Source organism: Homo sapiens, chromosome X (assembly GCF_000001405.40).
Source record: "Homo sapiens chromosome X, GRCh38.p14 Primary Assembly".
NCBI classification, from domain to species: Eukaryota; Metazoa; Chordata; class Mammalia; order Primates; family Hominidae; genus Homo; species Homo sapiens.
Window position 1 is genome coordinate 45,788,806 of NC_000023.11, and position 13,963 is coordinate 45,802,768.

Below are 13,963 nucleotides of genomic sequence, written 5' to 3' on the forward strand. Positions count from 1 at the left end.
ACCTTTGTTGTAAATGGAACCCAAATAAGAATTTCCTTGTGCTCTTAAGAATACTATAGGGTTTAAGATCTACTGCAAGATCCCTCTAGCAGACATTGGCATAAACCCTTGAAAACTGTGGGTTGTATCTTTAAAAGGTGTCAAAGGAAAAGCAGATGAAATGCTGTAATCTCCACCCACTGTCACTTAAGACTTACTGCCCACGCACTCCACAGTCCCAGCCAGCATCCTGCATCCACCCTTTTTTTTCAAGCCCACTGCATTAGACCATGGAAACTCAGGATGTGTGGCCACAACGGCCCCTGCTCTGGATCCAGCTGGCCCACCACGTGGCGTGGCCGTGACCTTAGTCACACTTCCCCCTGACATCCTGTGAGTGGGCTCAAGCTGGAGCCAGACCTTCCCACCGTGCTGCCCGCCCTGCTCCTGGAAATGACAAAACCCGGCTCCCTAAAACATTCCATTCTCCACTTACACCAACAGAGCTTCCTGCTCCCCACCCCTCCTGAACAACAGGTCTTTGAATATCATTCACCACCCTGGTAACACCTTTAACCATTTGGCCATTAGCTACTAAGGGAGGCATGCACAACTTCACTTCGGATTTTCATAGAAGCCTGTTCTCTTGATTTTCACTAAGTTTTTTAAACTATTATCACAAGAATCACTTCTACGGGATTTATAAGCATATGCAACATTCAAAATCGAAAACGTGGCACTGCAAAATCTGCACAACAAAGCTCTTCATGAGAGAAGTATCTCTTAATTTAGTGGAGAGAGTATCTGCTGGATTCAGATTTACATAAGCATTATCTTCTTGGTCCTCTTCTAAGCTGGACTAAAAGGATTTCAGAAATCTTCGACTTACTATGTATAACTCTCATCTTTGAAAAAGAACTTGCATTTTAATAAAAAGGTTAATGAGAAAAAAATACTCCCAATTTAGTTTTAGCTGTAGAGTCAAGAAGCAAGTTTTTGTTTCATCAGATGGTAAAGGTAATGCTTTTAACTGGCAGCACTAACCCCACCTTCCTCCTAAGAGGTGTCTGTGGATCCTAAGGATGGTTTTTCAAGCAAAGAGGTAAAGTTGGGTAGAGTGACACTAAGGGGGCAATTAAGGCACCCATTGTTTAGAGTCATACTATTCTCCATATTCAAAATCAAACAGAGGTTCCAGTTCTACGTAGGATAGATAGTCAGCACACTCCACCCTGTTTTTCCCAGGGCCGCAACTACGAACCTCAGAAAGAATGCTTGGAGCAGCTATACGAGGACTCTGAAAAGTAAACAGGAGCAGGCACATTAAGAAGGAAGACTAGAACATGAAAGACCACCCAACTGACAGTTTCCTCTTCTTTTTTCATCCAGTGTGCCCAAGCCTGGTCTCAACACACTGTCGGCAGACCCTAGGTGCTGACAGACGACAGGGAAAAATCCCCTGTTTTTTCCTTTTCTCTGTTCTCTCAGGCCACAGTCCCCAAGTAACCCTGCAGTGGCTACAGCAGCCAGCAGCAAGGGGAGCCTGCAAGACAGGGAACTCTGAGGGAGGAAAACCTTCCTCTAGATTCAACAGTGCCATGATTCCAAGAAAGTAGGGCCAAATCCCACTGTTTTTAGTGTCTCTGTCCTCCAGGGGCTTGACCCTGGGGACATGGGCACAGTTGTGAAAGTACATGGCAAAATAGAGTAACTAAAGCCCAAGCTTTCTAGCTAAATGGCCCAAAAGAGAAGCCCCATAGAACTGGAAAGAACTAGAGAGAGCACAAAGGGGAAGGAGCTCAAGAAAGAGACCCCATAAAGTTGCTTATCCACGTGCAAGTCACTCCTCAGATTTGCACTTGTTGACCTCATCCTAACAGTCTACCAATGACTTTGAGAACTGAAGACCTAGCTCCCAGATCGGCCACTGTGGAGCACACACACAGGATATATCCAAATGGTGCTGCAAATGCTAACACAGGACCACAGCTCATAGAAGGTGGTTGGAACTTGTTCTCTGAACCTAACCATTATCAACTGCCTGCTAAAACAAAAATATTGACATTCTCCATAGGATTTAGACAAGATGCAGAGTTTCATAACATAATATTCAAAATGCCCTGGATAAATTCAAAATTACTCAGCATGGAAAAATACAATCAACAGGTGCCAAGGCTGAGATGACAGACATTTGGACTGACAAAAACTTTAAATCAAGTTATTACAAAAATGCTCCAGCAACCAATCATAAACAATCTTGAAACCTACGGAAGAGAAAGTCTGGGCAAAGAGACAAAAGATCTAAAGAAGAACTGTTGGAAACTGTAGAACTGAACAATAAAATAACCAAAATAAAAAACTCATGGGATGGGCTCAATGGCATCATGGATATAAGAGTCAGCGAACTTGAAGATGAATACATAGAAATTAGCCATTCTGCACAAGAAAGAGAAAAAATATTTAAAGTAAAAAATGAACAGGGCCTCAGGGGACCAGAGAACAATAAGAGAAGGTCTGCCATTTGTGTCATAGAAATCCCAGAAAGAGAGAAAGAATGCCGTGCAGTACAGGAAAAATATTTGACAAAATAATGGCTGAAAACTTCATAAATTTCACAAGACACATATACGTACAAATTCTTGGAAAAGCAGAGTGAACCTCATGTAGGATAAACCCCCCAAAACCACGCTATAAACCAGAGATGAAACAAACATTCCTGAAAGCAGGGAGAGAAAAATGCCCTATTATCTAAGTATGGGGCACAAAAAGTCAAATGGTTATAGATTTGTCACCAGAAACCATGGAGGAAAGAAAGAAGTGGCACAATATTTTTAAAGCATTAAAGGAAAAGAACTGTAATCTAGAATTCTATATCCAGCAAATGTATCCTTCAATAAAGGTGGAATACAGATATCATAACAAAAGGCAGGAGGACAAAGGAACCTATATGGTGGTAAGGTTTCTACAGTCCACTTAAAGTGATAAAATGTCCATTCGAAGTGATTCTAAGTTGACTGTGAATGATTCTAGTTGACTATACATATTGCAATCCCTCAAGCAGGCACACACACAAAAAAAGAACTACGAAATATTCAAATAGCTCAAAAAAAAAAAAAAACACAGAATAGGAGAAATAGGAACAAAAATGGAATAAACAGAAGGCATAAATCCAAACATATCAACTATTACATTAAACTGAAATGGTCTAAACACAAGAATTAAAGGCAGAGACTGTGAGAATGAATAAATAAATATGAACCAACTACATGCTGTCCAACCAAAACTCACTTGAAATATAATATAGGCAGGTAAGTTAAGAGCAGAAGGATGAAAAAAGGTGTAACATGCAAGCTGTTGAAAAGAAAAGTAGAGTGTCTATATTTAGACAATGCAGACTTGAAGACAAAGACAATTGCCAGGGACAAAGAAGAACATCACATAATAATAATAAAAGTATCAATTTGCCAAGTGGACATGACAATTCTAAATGCGTATCTACCCAACAAATGACCTTCAAAATACACAAACCAAAAACTGACAGAATACAAAGGAGAAACAGGTAAATCTACAGTTGTCGTTGGAAACTTCAACACTCTTCTCTCAGTAATATATAGAAATAGACAGAAAACACCATCAATCAATTAAATTTAATATTTATAAAATACTCTAACCCAGGGATCCCCAACCCCCAGGCCATGGACCAGTACCAGAACGGGCTGCACCGCAGTAGGTGAGCAGCAGGCGAGTGAACATTACCACCTGAGCTTTGCCTTTTGTCAGATCAACAGACGCATTAGATTCTCATAGGAGTGGAAACCCTATTGTGAACTGCACACACGAGGAATCTAGGTTGTGCACTCCTTATGAGAATCTAATGCCTGATGATCTGAGGTGGAACAGTTTCATCTCGAAACCATCCCCCCACCCCCTCACCCCTCCCACCCCCATACCAATCCATGGAAAAATTGTCTTCCATGAAACCAGTCCCTGGTGCCAAAAAGGTACATTCACTGAGATAGACCATACTCTAAAGAATAAACCTTTAATAAATTTAAAAGAATTAAAATAATACACAGTATGTCATCTGGCCATGATAAAATTAAACTAGCAATCAACAACAGAAAGAAAAGGAAAATTTCCCAATACATGGAAATGATACAACACACTTCTAAATAATTTTTCAGTGAAGGGAAAGTCTCAAGTGAAAAAAATACATTGAGTTGAACAAAATGCAAATACAATATATCGGCCGGGTGCAGTGGCTCACGCCTGTAATCCCAGCACTTTGGGAGGCTGAGGTGGGCAGATCACTTGAGGTCAGGAGTTTCAGACCAGCCTAGCCAACATAGTGAAATGCTGTCTCTACTAAAAATACAAAAATTATCTGGGCGTGGTGGCAGGTGCCTGTAATCCCAGCTACTCGGGAGGCTGAGGCAGGAGAATCACTTGAACCCGGGAAGCAGATGTTGCAGAGATCCAAGATTGCACCACTACACTCCAGCCTGGGTGACAGAGTGAGACTCTGTCTCAAAAAAAAAAAAAAACAAAAACAAAAACAAAACCACAATATATCAAAATCTGTGTGATACAGCTAAAATAGTGCTTACAGAGAAATTTACAACATTAAATGTTTATATTAGAAGAAAAGAAGGTCTCTAATCAACAATCTAAGCCTCCACCTAAATAAGTTAGAAAATGAAGAGCAAAATACAGCCAAAGCAAGCAAGAAAGAAAAAGCAGAAAGCAATGAAATTGAAAGCAGAAAAACAATAGAAAAAAATGAAACCAAAAGCTGATTCTTTGAAAATATCAGTGCAATTGTTAAAACTCCAGCAAAACTAATAAAAAATAAAAGGGAAACACAACTTAACTAATATTAGGAATGAAAGAGGGAATATCACTACAGATCCCACAGACATTAAAAGAAGGGAATGTTTATAAATTTGATGGATGATGTTACTAGTATTTTTTGATGAACTTATGTTGTCTATGTTTATAAAGGATACTGGTCTGTAGTTTTGTCATCATTATTTTGTTTTGTTACTGCCATTGGTATCAGGGTAATGTTGGCCTTATAAAATAAGTTAGAATGTTTTCCCTCTTATTCTAGAAGAGACTGTCATTTCTTCCTTAAATGTTGGAATTTACCACTGAAACCATCTGGGTCTGAAGATCCCTTTTTCAGGAGATTTTTAAGTATGAATCCCGTTTTATTAATGGTTATAGGACTATTCAGGTTGCCAATTTCATCTTAGGTGAGTTCCAGTAGTTTGTGGCTTTTTCAGGAATTGGAGCTGCAAGACGTTCTTGTTGAATTCTCAAGTTTGATTCAGTTACTTGATCTCCTTGAATTCCAGAAGAGACCACCTGATCTGGGATCTTCCAGATTGTCACAGACAGGTTCCCAACCTTCTTGGCAACAATCAGATAATGGGTAAGGGGAGCTTAAGGTTGGGGGAAGCTGAGAGGAGGATGCTGATGGGTTAAATTTCAGGTTCCCAGCTTCAGAGCCCGGGTTGTCACACAGCACAGTGGTTAGCACAGCCATCAAAATTCCTATTGCCTGGCCAGGGCAAAGGATTTGAAATGTTTAGTTCTATGAAATGAGCTGGGAACTGTGTGGCTGGAGGTGGGGCCAGGGGTGGTAGGTGGAGGAGGGGTCAGGTCTAAGAGTAAAGCTGGCCAGGGAAGGCCATGGGGACTTCACCACTCTCTCTCCAACTACAGCAACTACCCTCTGAACCACCTGCTGGGAGGCTACCTTCTGGGATTCCTCCATTGTACAAGAAGCAAATACCCAGGCACAGGGTAAGTGCTGACACAGTCTCTGCCTACATGTGACAAGGAATATTTTTTTAACTCTTTATTTCTTTTAAGAAAATTTAGCTTCCACAGAAAAAGTTTGAAAAACACTGCCCTCAGATACCCCAAAGGAGGTGACTTGGGTTTCTGGCATGGGCTCCTCAGGACAACAACAAGCCAGCCATTCCCAACCCAAGGCAGGGGACCTGAGTGGAGTCAGCCTGAGTTTGGAAACAAAGTCGTGGCACCCAACTGAATGGCTGCAATTCTTCCCCCATTTAGTCAGACTCATAAAGCTGAAAGTAACCTCATAAATCTCTCTGCCCATGCCCTTATTTCACAGATGAGGAGACTTCTAATGAAAAATTTCTATCAGCGTTTGACAAGCTATTCTTTCAGGAGATGTTTCCCCTACACCTGGCATTCTCATGATGGGGAATAATCTATACTTTCAAGGGACAAACACAATGATGGAATCTGAAACTTGAGGTGAAACTGGCTACCATTTAAGTTTTGCATATGGCAAATTGCCACATGGGAAGGTTTAAAAAACAAAAAAAACAGACTCAAGTCTGTAGCCCAGGAACCGATCATTCTATTGTAACAGGAGGTCAGGCTCTGCTAACCATCATGACCAACAGATGAACAAAAAATTGGTATGCAAGTCCATATGAAGCATAGAGCTTTCTGGAAGCAAAAAAAAAAAAAAAAAGTCAAATCAACTACAAGATGGCTAAGACAACTACTAGAAGAGATGTTCCTGGGAGATTCTAAACTGCATTGCAAACTTGGGTAAACTGACCAATCGTTTTGGGATAGAAAGGCAGAAGAAACTATCAGGCACTGTCATCACAGTGGGTAGGATTCCGGACACACCAGTACCAAACAGGTGTGTGACCACCTGCCTGGGACTCTGCTTCTCATTTCATAACCTCTAAAGGTGCTTATTTTGGATAAAAGTATAGAATTTAGGATATTAAAAATGCTTTTCATGTATTCAACTTAAAAACCACATTTATTCCATCCAGCTCTGATGGGGCAGAAATAATTTATCATCATCACAGCAGGCTGCAAGGGTCCAAAGCAGCAGCTTCCACAAAGGCTTCATGGAATCTCCCTCCTTGAAAATGATGAATACTAGAATGGTTTAGGTTGGCATTCCCTCCAGACCCTCAGAAGCTGGCTAAGTAACCTCAAAAGTACCCTGTTAGTTCAGTAATTCTGTGAGTCAATGGAAAAATAACAGCAATTAATCTTGGGCTCTATGTTTCCATGCCTTGCTATTAAAGAAAGAACATAATGAAATATGCACAGATACAGCTTCTTTCTAGTTTTATCTCAGAACCTGATAAAAATAACTTACTTTTGCATATGCTCACTGCTGTATCCCCAGCACCTAGACAGGATCTGGTATAAAGTGGAACCTCAGAAATATTTTTCCAATGTCATTATTACACCAAAATTCTGCAAAATGAAAAATATGCCTTGAAAAACAAATTTGTTATTTATACTGATATACGAATAAGAAAGGAAATCTCAAACTCAACATCCATTTTGCTGTATGTTTTTTCTTGGTATAGGCTTGGTGAAATCAGAAAAGGGAAGGTAACGCATATCCTCTCTATCATTTACAATGTGATTTTGGGCAAATGACTTGAATGCTCTCTTAAGTATCTATGGCCTCATTTCTAAAATAAGGCCAATCATCTCTTCCTCACAGTGTTGCAGTACAGATGAAGTGTGTAATAACTGTTTCAGAGCCTGGCACACAACAGACAGATATTTAACAAATAAACACACATGAAAGAATACGGGGAAACCTCTTATCTTCTCCTTCGACCTCACACATGAGCCCTGAGTAAAGGTTAGTATCATCCATGTTATTTTCTGAGTTTCTCCGCAAAGAGATGAGTCCTTCAATCATTATAGCAAGAATTCTCTGCCCTGGCTGTGATCAGAGACCCCAGGGGAGCTTTCTAGCCAGGTAATTTGCTGACCTTGACTCTCCAGGCGTGGGCAGGAAGAGAGGGGCTCTCTGGTGTGGTTTCCCGCCTGCTCCTGAGCACTCAGGCCCTGACCCAGGCCCTCCAGGAGCCCAGGTACTTGAAGACAGAGGGGCACCAGAAAGGTCACAGGCAGCGTGATGCTTCAGAGGCAGATAAGAAGGAGGCACAGCATGAGGAGCACCAGTGAAAGGATGGCCAGCCCAAATTAGGAGAACATGAGCTCTGCCTGAGAGAAGCATCCTTAATTTAACCAGTACATGAAAAGCAGTTTGGAGATAGCTTCTTCAAGCTGTGATTTGACAGAAAGTTCAAGTGAATATATACCTAAGCTTTCCAAAAAAAAAAACAGATCTGAAATTGGCTGGTTAATTTGGCCCAAACCATAACATATGGATAGATCGAAATGCTGCTGAAAGCCTCCATTTTAAAAGTGGCATATGTATTTTTTCAATGTAAGTTTTAACATTTTTTAAAAAATCATGAGTGATGTAATCAGAAGGTCAATAGTTGCAATGCTGAGCAAAAGCATTTCTCTTTAAGAGGGAGCCAATCAAGGAGAAGTCTTTCTCATCTTGACCTCCTAGACAAGCCAGATGCTACTTCAGTTCTTTGTATAATTTCAAGGATGTTATAATCCTTCAGGACTCAGTTTCTCCATCTGTTTAAAAAAAAGCGGGGAGGGATAGATCTAGCTAACTCCAAAATACTACACTTCTCTTCTGAAAATATAAATCATTGTTACTTTCCTCTGGGCCAGGTATTTCATTGTCAAATATGCGGTATCTTTGAGTACGTGGTTCGTGAGAAGGGTAAGAGGAAATAGGGTTTCTAAAATAACACAGATTCACACAGCCTTTAAGAAAAAGTTCCTAGAGACCTTGTTCACCTCAAAACAGGACAGACCAAACAATATTCCCCCCTTTTTTCTTTTTAATCAAATTTCCATGACTCCATCTCCCAGATGCCACAAAACCTCTCTCATATAAGCCAAGGCTTAAGATAGAATAAATCTACTTATAGGCTGGGAACTCTCTTGCTAAGTATGGGTTTGTGATAATCACATCAGATGAGCATGGTATCGAGTTGAAAGGCCCACACTGAGGATGGTGAGAAGGCCACATGGGCCTGGTGCTATATGCTATTCAACACCCCTGCTCAGCTCATAGTGAAGAGTGTATGATACAGACAAGGAAAATCCGAGGCTTAAAAAAGTGCTTTCATTTAATATTGATGAGGGGAGAATCACATATATTTTTATGATATATGCAAAGTATAATCAAGTTAAAGTACCAGCACAGGCCCTATTTTGTAACATTCTCAAATAATAATGGAGGAAAGGTCACAAAAACCAAATGCGGCCAAGACCAGTCTATTTTTAAAGCATGAGGTATTTAGAGTACATGAAGAAAAATGAATTTTTCATTAACTCCAACACACAGAAAACCTTAGTATTCATTAAATGCCATAAAAACTCTTCACATAGGCTTTAAACTTGATAATGCCACATGCTCTAGAAACCCAAAGTAGCTATAGAATATTAACATTTATTAAGCACTAAGAACTGCAGACTACATAAATAGGGAAACTGCTCACTTACAAATGCAAGAATTCAAAAGCACATAACAACAACCAATCCTAGGAACAGTTCAACAGTTTAACTCGCTTCAACAGCCTGATTCTATAAGCACTTGAAGTGTTCCTGGTTTGCAGTGATGAAAGTTCATCTTTAAAAACTAAAGAACTACTACTGTAGCCAATGGTTCAACAAAGCACATATGTTGAGAGTCAATGAAAGAAAATTAATTAGGAATAAGAGAATTTGTACTAACATAATTTCTGCAAAGTGAAATGTCTTCTCTCAATATTTATAGGGAAAACATGGATCCCTCCTTTTCTCACACCATTTCTTAGGCATATAACACTGTGCATAAAATGCCCAACTTATACCATTTTGTCCTAAAAAGCACAAAGCCATTTTTAATTACAGACAACTGCAAGAAGAACCAATACAACTCTTTTCCCACTTGCTGTAAGGGGAGAAATATACAGAGAGCCAGAATGTTACTGAAAATGCTTAATGATAAACTCAAGTTGCCAAAGATGGAGGTTTGTGAAAAATAATCAATCCTGCTAAACATTAATGTGAAAATGATCTCTTAGAAATCCAATCTCCAATAAACATGTCAACAGAAAGTTTTAGAAGTATATAGCTGAACAGGCAAATTATTTCTCCCATTTCCTTCGGAATGTTTTCACATTGCTCTTACAGTTCGGTTCATGAGATGTAATATGATCTAGTACACTGTGTAAATGGATTCATTTGGAAAGTCTCCTTTCATTCACAGGTCTGAAAAATGCTTGCTTGCTGCGTTCCAAAGGAGGCCATTTTATAATCAGTAGTTTTTATAAGATTTACTTTGCGTGCTTCTCATGTGATTAGACACTGGCAAGGTCAGCCCTGGTGTGGGGAACAACTGAGCATTAGCAAAATGCTCTTGCTTGAACGCTCACAAGCCTACAATGATCTGTTCTTAGCCCTCAGTTATTACCTTCCCAAGGCATCCATTAAGTTTCAAGTATTTTACCCGAAAGGAGTAATAAGTTAACAGCCACAAATGCATGTCTAAATGCTACATGCAAGTTTACTTCTGTCAGTAAAGAGAGCACAGGGTGGGAGGACACCTAAAGCTCCCCATGACCCAGTGGGGTTGCCTGAGTGGTAAGGAAAGGAAAAAAAGGGGAGAGGAGGGAGAGACAGTGAGAAGAGAGAGAAGCGTGACAGGGAGAGAAAAGGAGAAGCAGGGAAAGAGGGAGGAGGGAGAGAGGGAGAGGGACACAGGGAGAGTCTGGGGAAGGAGGGAGAGAGAGAGAGGAGGGTTCCTAATAGTAGGTGAGAAACTTAAAAAGACACTAAATTTCTCTGCTTCCCTACGTGGCCTTAAAGGCAGGTAATTCCATGTTTGCTTTCACTTTCAAACAACTTTACCTATGCATATAGGTGAAGCCTAAAATTAAAATGAATTGATAAAAAAAATTGAGAGGGCCCAATTACACAATCGATGGAAAAGCAACACGTTTATACCTCCCAGTCAGGAAGAGCATTCTGAGAAAGGAGACTTGCCAGCTTCCAAAGGCACTCAGCCTTGACAGCTTGGCTACTTCACGGGCTGACTGCAGCTCAAACACCTGTTGGTATCTTGGAGCCACAGCACATCCATCCTTCCCTCACGCCAACATCAACCTGATGGTGAGCTTTCTGAGTAAGGTGTCTTTGTTGGTTGGTTGAGGCCTTCACGTCCTTCTTAGTTTGGGAGGCACTTGCATTTCATATAGCATCACCACATCTATCGGAGTTGATTTGGGGAAGGTGGGTGTGGAGCAGTGATAAAGGAAAACGTTACATCTCTGTGGAAATTCCAGGCCTTTCCACTTCTTTCAGGTACACCAGAGTTCACTGTGGTCATTATATTCAGAAGACTCACACAGTGCAAAAGGCAGTATTTTGGGGAATGAAGCCATAAACCAGTAAAATAAGCCTCAGACTGTTTCCCCAATTTATTATTCTCATTATTCTCATCTCCCATACACAGTATGTTACATGGGGTGCAACAAAACCAAGAAGTTGTTTAAGGATCAAAAATCACTTCTATTTTTAAAAAATAACTTGTAATAGAAATATTTTTGCAATATTTAAGGCAGTAAAAATTTAGCACTCTTAGATAGCCCAAACTGTTACTTTAAAAACCAGATAAATATATATGATGCTTAAATGTGGCAAATATTTTGAAAACATTGACTAGTATTTAAGATATCAATTTTAAAGAATAAAATATTTGATTCATTAATTTGTCTTTTGTTTTAAAACTCAGTTACTGTCATAATAAAAAAAGTTGGCAAAATAAGGTTCACTTTTCAATTGCTTTGTAATTTGTCGTCCTTTTTCCTACCTCCCAGTGTGTGAGAGACAGCTACACAAGTTAAGGCAAAATATAAAACTCCCCTATGGCTCAATTTCCTTTTAAGTAACATGAGGAAATTGTCAATGATTTGTTTCTGCCCCTCATAACTTTTGAGAATAAGTAAAACTTATAAAGTACTTTGCAAATACAAAAAGCTGTTTTAAAAGATGGGGCAGGGGATGGACAAGCAGAATAAATATTTCTAGGTCAAAATTCTTATTTCATAACTACCTTTTAATTTTCTAAGTCTCCTGTATTTTCAAAATGTATTTTATAACAGCCACAATCCCTAGAGAAGCATTTTTAGTAAACACTCTTTGAACTGAGGAAGAACTGTCTCAGATTTGCAGCCTAAGGAGACACGATGACTAAAAACACTGTGGGATCCTGGATGGGATCCTGGAACAGAAAAAGGACATAAGTGGAAAAACTGGTGAAATCCAAATAAAGTCTGCAGTTTAGTTAGTAGTTCTGTACCAATGTTAATTTCCTGGCCTTGATAAGTATACCACGGTTAACAGAGAAAGCTGGGCAAAGGGTATATGGGAACTCTCTGTACTATATTTACAATTTTTTTTTTTTTTTTTTTTTTTGAGACAGAGTTTTGCTCTTGTTGCCCAGGCTGGAGTGCAATGACGCGATCTCAGCTCACCACAACCTCCGCCTCCCGAGTTCAAGCGATTCTCCTGCCTCAGCGCCCCCCCCCGAGTAGCTGAGATTACAGGCATGCGCCACCATGCCCAGAGGCTAATTTTGTATTTTTAGTAGAGACGGGGTTTCTCCATGTTGGTCAGGCTGGTCACGAAATCCCGACCTCTGGTGATCCACCCGCTTCGGCCTCCCAAAGTGCTGAGATTACAGGCATGAGCCACCGCACCCAGCCTATTTTTACAATTCTTCTGCAAATTTAAAATTAGTTCAAAATCAATAGTTTTTAAAAATCATTCTTTGAGTAAGAAAATCAATTGTTACATGTTTTATTAAGAACCTAACTCTTGGCCAGGCATGGTGGCTCATGCCTGTAATCCAAACACTTTGGGAGGCCGAGTCAGGAAGATCGCCTGGAGCCCAGGAGTTCAAGACCAGCCTGGGCAATGTGGCAAGACCCTGTCTCCGTAACGAGGGGAAAAAAAAGAACCTAAATCTAAATTAGTGTGTACTGTAATACATTATAGTGAAATGTTTCCACTAGATGGCACTCTGTTTTCTTCAGTGACCAGAGACACCTCTTCACACTTCTAGTATCCATCACCTGATAGAAATATTTCTTGAGCTTATTTTATAGCTCCAGTGGGCACACGTCTTTGTATAATTTATTCCGTGATTTGAGTCAAAAATATTGTTTGCTTTATTTTCTTAAAATGCCTTCTTTCAGGTTTCAAGCCTCACTATCATTCCAGAATTTTAAGACAAGGTTTGTGAATCCAGTCATTCAACATATTCAGTAAGCCATTACTTTGTGCCACTATTATCTCTACAGTCTGAGGAAACCCATTCTCTTTAGCATTGACCAACATAAAAACTGTCCATCCTCCTACACATTTGCAAACTGCATAAGATTCAAAGAGTAACTCTGAGCAAGGAGGAAACAAATGCTTTCCACCTTGTTTGCATGACTCTTTGATGATGCTGGACACCCCACTGATTTTTACTGCTTAAACAAAGGGTTAGCTATTCAAGAATAACTTCTAGCTTCCTTTTGTATGTCAAAGCTGAAAACCAAAGTTCTTTTTTAAATTAAAACCAAATAGCTAGGAGTTCACCAGTTCCAATGAGGTTCGGCTTCTGCACTCCAATCATATTTATTAATATCTATAGCATTTCCTGGTCCATTCAATAACCTCCTTAATAAAACATTTCTGTTGTCCATACTCCTCAGCTCATCACTGCTCTCTGCTGAAAAGCTCCAATAAACCCAAGACTCTAAGTTCCATCCAGTACTGAAGTTTCATTTTAGGAAAGGTATTTCAAACTTTGCTAATATGAGTTTTTTTTAAAGAAAAAACAAACTCATTCGGGGGCTTACATGTCAAAATGAAAATAGAGTCATGCTGTTTATTAACCAGTTTCCAAAGTGCTAAACCTAGATGAGATTGGAAAACTTTCAATCTCTGACTTTACAGAATAAACGCTTATAATACTTCAGAATGAATTGGAAATAGTGATTCTGCATAAGAGAGACGATACTTGTAATATGTGGCACTAGCCAAAACCAAA

The 13,963-nt window shown here is 39.7% G+C and overlaps 1 annotated feature.

Annotated features, from left to right (window-relative positions):
- Nucleotides 13,075-13,653: an enhancer, noted in NCBI's record as "NANOG hESC enhancer chrX:45661291-45661869 (GRCh37/hg19 assembly coordinates)". NCBI's record gives its function as "activates a minimal SCP1, AML or CMV promoter by ChIP-STARR-seq in primed H9 embryonic stem cells {active_cell/tissue: H9 hESC(primed)}" and the evidence as "EXISTENCE:reporter gene assay evidence [ECO:0000049][PMID:30033119]".